At 38.5% G+C, this 8,550-nt stretch overlaps 1 annotated feature.

Moving 5' to 3' along the window:
* Positions 8,045-8,339: an enhancer, noted in NCBI's record as "tiled region #4350; HepG2 Activating non-DNase unmatched - State 10:DNaseD, and K562 Activating DNase matched - State 5:Enh". NCBI's record gives its function as "activates a minimal TATA promoter and a strong SV40 promoter by Sharpr-MPRA in HepG2 and K562 cells {active_cell/tissue: HepG2 | K562}" and the evidence as "EXISTENCE:reporter gene assay evidence [ECO:0000049][PMID:27701403]".

Below are 8,550 nucleotides of genomic sequence, written 5' to 3' on the forward strand. Positions count from 1 at the left end.
AATAAAAGTACAGATGGCATCACTACTTTGTTTTTTGTTTTTTGTTTTTTGTTTTTTTTTTTTGAGACCGGGTTTCTCTCTGTTGTCTAGGCTGGAGGGCAGGGGCATAATCATTGCTTACTGCAAACTCGAACTCCTGAGTTCAAGCAATCCTCCCACCTCAGCCTTCCCGGTAGCTGGGACTACAGGTGTGTGCCATCATGCCCGGTTAATTTTTTATTTTTTTTAGTAGAGATGAGGTTTTGCTATGTTGCCCAGGTTGGTCTTGAACTCCTGGGCTCAAGTGTTCCTCCTGTCTCTGCCTCCCAAAGTGTTGGGATTTCAGGCGTGAGCCACATGCCTGGCCAATTCACTGATTAATTCTACCAAAATATTTAAAAAATTAACATCAATCCTTCATTGAATCTGTAGATTTAATACAATTTCTATCAAAATTTCAGCTGAATTATGCTTTTTATGGCAGAAATTTTCAAGCTGATCCTAAAATTTTTATGGAAATACAAATGACTCAGCATAACCAAAAGGATCTTTAAAAAGCAGAACAAAATAAGAGGGCTTACAAGCTCCAATTTCGAAACTCACTAAAAATCTACAATAACCAAGGCAGTATGGTACAAGCAAAAGAATAGACATACAGAATTGAGCATACAAAAATAAACTTTTATACTTATGATCAAGAAATGTGTCAAGGCAAGTCAATAGGTAATGAATAGTTTTTTAACATATGGCACTCAAACAACTGGATATCCACATGCAGAAAGATGATTTTACACTGTTATCCTACACCATAAAATAAAAATTAATACAAAACGGATCATAGATCTACATATAAGGACTAAAGTCATAGCACTTTTAAATCATGAAAAAAATCTTTATAATTTAGCATTAGACAGATATTTCTTAAATATGATATCAAAAGAACTATCCATAAAAAATTGATAAATTTGACTTCTCCAAAATGAAAAATGTTTTACCTCAAAGACACCATTAAGAAAATGAAAAGACAAGCCACAGATCATGAGAAAATATTTGCAAATCATATATCTGGTAAGATACTTATATCAAGAATATATAAAGAACATTTACAATTCAATAATAAAAGGCATATAACAGTAATGTTTTCAACAACGTTTCATAGTTTTCAGAGTATAAGTTTGTACTTCTTTCGTTAAATGTATTAAGTTTTGTATTCTTTTTGTGAATGAAATTTTTAAATGTTTAGATTAACTGCAAGTATATAAAAATACGACTGATTTTTGTATATTGATTTTGTACCCAGCAACCTTGCTCTAAAAAACTGTCAGAACTATTAGTTCTACAAAGAAGAGAACAACAGACACTGGGGCCCACTTGAGGGTGGAGGGTGGGAGGAGGGAGAGGAGCAGAAAAATTAACTATTGGGTACCAGGCTTAATACCTGTGTGATGAAATAATCTGTACAACCAACCCCTGTGATATGAGTTTACCTATATAATAAACCTGCACATGTACCCCCAAACCTAAAAGTTAAAAAAATAAGCATCATGACAGATTTTTTAAAAAAGAACTATTAGTTCTAATAGCTTTTTAGTGGATTTCTTAAAATTTTATATACAAGATCATGTCATCTGCAAATAGAGATAGTTTTGTTTCTTTTTTTTTTTCCCAATCTGGATGCTTTTTTTTTTTTTATAACACAATCTTCCCTAATTGTCCCGGCAAGATGCCTTATATTATATGATTCCTTTTTGTAAAATGTCCAGAAAGGAAAAGTTTATAGAGACAGAAAGTAGGTTAGCAGTCATCTAGGCCTGAGAGTGGGAATGGAAAGTAAGCGCAAATGGGTACAAGATATATTTTTGTAATGATAAAAATGTTCTAAAATTGGAAGGAAGAAACAATTGTACAACTCTGCATTTACTAAACATCACTTAATTGTACACTTAAAGTAGGTAAATTTTAAAACTGTTAAAAACATTTAAAAAATATAAATATGTTAAATTCATCACTTAAAAAAAGGAGATTCTCAGATTGGGTTTTAAACATCCTGCTATACGTTGTTTAAGATGACACACATAAAATAATAATTTCTAATATTTACTAAGCATTTACATTGTTCTCTATGTTTAATCCACACAAGTTTATGAACTAGAACTATTATTATTCTCATTTTATAGGGGAGGAACTAAGGCACAAAGGGTTCAAGTAACTTGCTAAAGGCTTCTGAACCAGGTAATGACAAAGATGGGCGTTGAATCCTACTCACTAGTTTATATGGCTTCTCTTAAGTGGGAGTGTTTAAAATAAAGAAATACAAAAGATAATTCAAGAAAATTGTAAACAAAAATAAAACGTGTTAATATCATAAAATTAAAGTCAAGGTAAAAGACATTAAAAGAGTAGTATTTCATATTGATAAAAAGCCCAACTACCAAAAGATACATCAGACATAAACCTTTACACTTACAATATACAAAGCAAAAATGATAGAAATTCAAGGGGGGGAAATCTACAAGTTTACCGTCAGAGAGGAATATTTGTTTGTCTCTCTCATAAATTAAGCAAAACTTTAAAGACATGGAGAATTTGGGGTTTTTTTGTTTGTTTGTTTTTTGTTTGTTCTTTTTCTGAAATGGAGTCTCACTCTGTTGCCCAGGCTGGAGTGCAGTGGCACAATCTCGGCTCACTGCAACCTCTGCCTCCTGGGTTCAAGCAATTCTCCTGCCTCAGCCTCCTGAGTAGCTAGGACTACAGGCGTGTGCCACCATGCCTGACTAATTTTTGTATTTTCAGTAGAGATGGGGTTTCACCATGTTGGCCAAGCTGGTCTCAAACTTCTGACCTCAAACTCCTGACCTCAAGTGATCCGCCCCCCTCGGCTTCCCAAAGTGCTGGGATTACAGGCGTGAGCCACTGTACCCGGCCAACGTGGAGAATGTGAATGCTGTAGTAATAAGCTTTATGAGAAAAGAAAGAGAACAAGGAAGTTTTATCAAACTCACATAAAATTTCCACGAAAGTTGACCATGCATTAAACCCCTTACACATACACAAACACACAAGTAATATCTCAACAAAAAAAATTCCCCAAAGCAGAAATTATATAGGCCATATTCTCTGACCACAATGCTATAAAATTAGAAATCAACATTTACAGGATAGCCAAAAAATCTATTTGCTTAGGAATATTTAAATAGTCTTAAATATAATTTTTGGATAAGAGGAAGAATTAACATGGAAATTATTACTATTTAAAAGTGAACAAACATGAGAATACCACACATCAAAAGCAGCTCTCAAAGGAAAAGTTACAGCTTTAAATGCGTATGTTAGAAAACTAAAACTCTTAAAAATAAATGAACCGAGCCTTATACCCAGAAAATTATATAAAAGCTCTACAGACTAGTTCCAAAGGAGTAGGGAAATTTAATAATGATAAAAGCAGAAATTAATAGGCTAGAAAACAAAAGAATAATCAATAAACTTGTTCATTTAACAGACCAACAAACAAACCTCTGGCAAATCTAATCAAGGAAACAAATTTAGAAGACATGAACAATATTGATGACAAAAATGGATGATGAGTCCAAGAGGCGACTTTTATAAATTAAGACACTACATGTATAAAAACATAATAACAGCAGATTCAAAAATCTGTGCGTAATGGATGATTTCCTGGGGAAAAATACATTTTAAAAATTAATTCAACAAGAAGCAAAACCTGCATAGATAGATATTGACTGAAGAAAAGGAAAAGGTAGCTAAATAACTTCCCTAGAGCAGGCACCAAGTTGAGATTATTTAAAAACAAATTATGCCAAACTTTAGAAATATATATGCCATCTGTTCTATCTATTCTGTTTCTAGGAATCCTAAAGAAATGCTCAAAGAGGAGCCAGGCACGGTGGCTCAAGCCTGTAATCCCAGCACTTTGGGAGACCGAGGTAGGCAGATCACGAGGTCAAGAGATTGAGACCATCATGGCCAACATGGTGAAACCCCGTCTCTACTAAAAGTACAAAAATTAGCTGGGCATGATGGTGCACGCCTGTAGAACCAGCTACTCGGGGGGCTGAGGCAGGAGAATTGCTTGAACCCAGGATGCAGAGGTTGCAGTGAGCTGAGATCGCGCCGCTGCACTCCAGCCTGGCGACAGAGTGAGACTCCATCTCAAAAAAAAAAAAAAAAAAAGAAAGAAATGCTCGAAGAGTTATGCACAAAAATGTTTCTGGCTTTATTTTAATTTTTTGGATTTTTTAGAGACAGGGTCTTGTTCTGTCATCCAGGCTGGAGTGCAGGCGTGTTTACAGCTCACAGCAGCCTCAAACTCCTGGGCTCAAGCAATCCTCCCGGTCCCGAGTAGCTGGAACTACAGATGAGCGCCACCATGACTGGCTAATTTTTATTATTTTTTTATTTTTATTTTATTATTTAATTTTATTGTTTTGTAGAAATGGGGTCTTTCTTTGTTGCCCAGTCTGGTCTTGAACTCTTGGCCTCAAGTGATCCTCCTGCCTCAGTGTCCCAAATTGCTGGGATTACAGGCATGAGCCATTAGTCCTGGCCTCTTGCTTTGAGATTTACAATAGCCAAAGAAGTGGAAGCAATCTACATTCCCCATCAAAAATGGAGTATTTAATAGAGTGTGGATAATTATATGAAAGAATACTATGCAGCCTTTGTATTCAACCTGTATGTATATATACAGAATTCAACCTCTATGTATATACACAGATAGATCTTTAAAACATATCAGTTGGTAAAAAAATAAATCAAATTTAAAAACAGCATGTTTTATATAATCCTATAATGTTGCAATAGAAAAGTAGATCTGTGAATATATATCCATTTTTGTAGAAATGGGCTGTGAGGATGCTCACTAGCTGCTTCTTCAAGGGTGGGCTTAGATACCATGGCATGAAGGGGGAATGCTGCACATTGAGAATACAGTCATCCCTCAGTATTGTCAGGATGCTCAAGTCCCTGATAGAAAATGGGGAACTATTTGCATATAACCTATGTACATCCTCCTGTGTATTTAAAATTATCTCTACTTATAATACCTAATACAATGTAAATGCTATCTAAATAGTTGTTCTAGTGTATTTCCTATTTGTACTAGTTTTTATGTTTTTTTATTAGTTTCTTTTTTCAAATATTTTTTATCTGCAGTTGGTTGAATACAGGATGCATAACCCACACAGTTGGAGGGTGGGTTGAATGTATACAAGGTATTGCTTGTGTAAGTAACTATAAAAATAAAATGAAGCATTCAAGTGGAAGACAGGGATTTCCCACAAGACAATCTTTAATACTCATTCCAGATCTAAAATTCTGTGCCTCGCTCCTGTCATGGAGCCTTCCAGACCAGACCATTACAAAGCAAACAGCTGTTTACATTTAACATTCGATCCCCTGGCTGGGCCAGAGCAAATTACTACTTTTCATGTTCTGCCCTTCAAGCGAGAAGGCATTGGCATCTCTGAGTAGCTTCACTCCAAAGACACTTTTCTTCTTTCTGCCATTGTTCCCACTTGGCCCCTTAAACTCCACAAATTAAGAACTCCTGTGGTAAGACTGGTGGCTGTCTTGTAAAATGTTAAGTTCCCTTCTGACTGAAACACAAAACACTGCTTGTTGTTTTGCAGAGACTAGAACTAAAGGAGCCACCCAACCTGCCCCTAAGGGAAACGAGGTGGGTCTGGGGCTTTGCAGGCATAAAAACAATCCTGACTGCTGGACTCAGCTCTGAATTCATTGGCAGCATCAGCCCACTCCTCCATTCCGTCCCTGATTCTCTCTAGTTAAGTGACCTATGAACCTGAGACTTGGCTCCATTTGTGCTTTTATTGACCATTTCCAAGGAGCTCCACTCCTTGTCAGTCATTGGAGCTATGGCATGAAAATGAGCCACACAGATACCAGTAGCTCATTTTTGCTTTGAAACAGCCTATCCCAAAACTTAGCAGCTTTAAACAACCACCATTTATTTAGCTCACTATACTGAGGGTCATCAGTTAGGCTGAACTCAGTTGAGTGATTATTCTGGTGTCAGCTGGGCTCCCTCATGAGCCTGCAGACAATGCAAGTCATTCAGGTCGCTCTTTTTTTCTGGGAAGAGCTTGCTATCAGCTAGGTGACAGGGTGGTCAGGACACATGTCTTTCATTCTCCAGCAGGCTAGCCCGGTCATGTTCACATGGTGGTGGCACCTGTTCGAGAGGGTTAAAAGGCCATTTCTAGGCATTAAATATTCAAGTTAAGACAAAGATGAAACCCCACCCTATCATTTACCTTTCTACTAAATGTCTCAGGACAAGCTTGTAGTTGTCAGAGATTATTCCAAGTTCCATGAATTCCAATGTTTTAGCTCATCAAAGATCATTTACTTCAACCCCTCTGTACCCAGACTCCAGTATGGATTATGTACCTCTGGGAGGCTAGGAACAGCTTGGAGGAATAAAAAAAAAAACCTTTATTCAAGCTCAGGTAATAACAGCCCACTCTTAGTTATTCATGAGTGCCGTGATCAGGATTTTATTCCTTGGGAGAATTCAGGATCAGGGGTTCTTTGAAGGAGATGGAAGAAATAGAGTTAAAACCCTGAGATTTGCAAATAGACACTGCCCACGAAGGCTGGATATAAACATTCAAGGGCACCTTCTGGGTTGCTGGTCTTAACTTCTTGACTAAATTTTAAAACCTGCAGGTTTTAAGATATCTGATGGGGCAAAATACAAATCTACCCATTGGGTATATCATGGCAGCTCTTTTTTCTCCCCAAACACCATCTGCCTGATTTCCCATGGTTCCTGAGCTCCTCCTCAGAAAGTCGGGAGGGAAAGATGGTGCCAAGAATGCCCTTTGCTGGCATCTCCGGTTTTAAACCCAGAGAGTCGCCTATATGATCTGCCTCTGACCCTAAGAATTCATGTGCTCTGGATGCTCATGGTCTAATTAGGAGCTATAAAGAGATATTCCAGTATTTGTAATGCAAAAAGGTAACGTCTATAATGAAGTGTGCACAAAATAGGAACAAGGAAGGGTTGGACCGGTTGTCAAGTAGGCGAGAGAGAACAGAGGTAAAGATTCAGAGGGGAGGAAGAGCTTGACTGATTCTCAGGAGGGCATGTGTGTCAGTGTTACTCGTGCATAATGTCAGGTGGGGAGGTGGACACAGACTGGGGATGGAGGCAGGAAATGAGGCTACAAAAGTCATCACTGCTCAGATCAAGAAGGGTCTTTGTCCGGGCGCAGTGGCTCACACCTGTAATCCCAGCACTTTGGGAGACCATGGCAGGTGGATCACATGAGGTCAGGAGTTCGAGACCAGTCTTGAAACCCTATGTCTACTAAGAATGCAAAAATTAGCCAGACATGGTGATGGGCACCTGTAATCCCAGCTACTCAAGAGGGTGAGGTGGGAGAATAGCTTGGACCTGGGAGGCAGAGGCTGCAGTGAGCTGAGATCACGCCACTGCACTCCAGCCTGGGCGACAGAGTGAGACCCTGTCTCAAAAAAAAAAAAAAGGTCTTCACAGTCATGCTAAGCATCAGGAGCCATTGAAGAATTAAAGCAGAGTAGATGTCATTATCTTTTTATTTAAAAAATACTACTCATTGGGTGAAAAGAAAGGCATTCAAGACGCCACTGTAATTAACCAGTCAAAACACAGTTCAATTCCAATGAAGACAGAGAGGGAAAAGAACAGACATGAGAGAAGCCTAGCAATAATAAATGGGATTTGGTGGCTAGTTAGATATAAGGTGGAAGAAAAAATGTCACCAAAAATTTTGACGACATTTTTACTTGGGCCACTGTGCAGGTGATAGTATCCTTGGCTAAGTTAAGGAATACAAGAGGAGGAGTAGGCGTTGAGACATGTTGAGATGGAGACAGTAAAGGATAAGATCTGATTGGCACACTGAGTTTGGCCTCTGTGGAAGGGTTATCAAGGTGAAACAGAAGCCCTGGTCCTGTGGTTTTAGGGCATAGGGGAGCAGCCTGGGATGCCAGCAGGATTTTTAGTTAAGCTGAAACAGATAATACTTAGAGACAGGGTATGGAGCAAGAAATAAAAGAGCCAAGAACTGAGCCCCTGGGAACAAAACACTTAATGGGGCCAGAGGAAATGGGAGCTGGGAAGGAAACAGAACCACAGCGGGGAGTGGCCAGTCAGTGTCATCTGCTGCTGCAAAACTGGGAAGATAAGCCTGAAAGCATTCACTGTGTTAGCCACATGGAGGTCACTGGTGACGTCAGTGGGAGCTTTCATAGTCAGACAGGGCTCTGTTCCAGGGAGCTAGGAGTAAGAGGGGTCAGAATGGGGAGACAGCTGGTAGAGATGACACTTTAGAAACATGGTGTAAACGTAATGAAGATATATGACATTAGGTGGAGGAGCATACAGAGTCTAGGAAGGACTTTACTTTAAAGGAGATTTAATTCTGCTTAAATGTCATTGGGAAAGTGGGAATAATAATACTACCCTCACAGGATTATTGTAAGGGTTAAACTACAGCATGCATGTAAGGTGTTTAGCAAGGTGCCTGAACATAGTAAGTGTCCAAT

This window comes from Homo sapiens, chromosome 3 (assembly GCF_000001405.40).
Source record: "Homo sapiens chromosome 3, GRCh38.p14 Primary Assembly".
Lineage (NCBI taxonomy): Eukaryota > Metazoa > Chordata > Mammalia > Primates > Hominidae > Homo > Homo sapiens.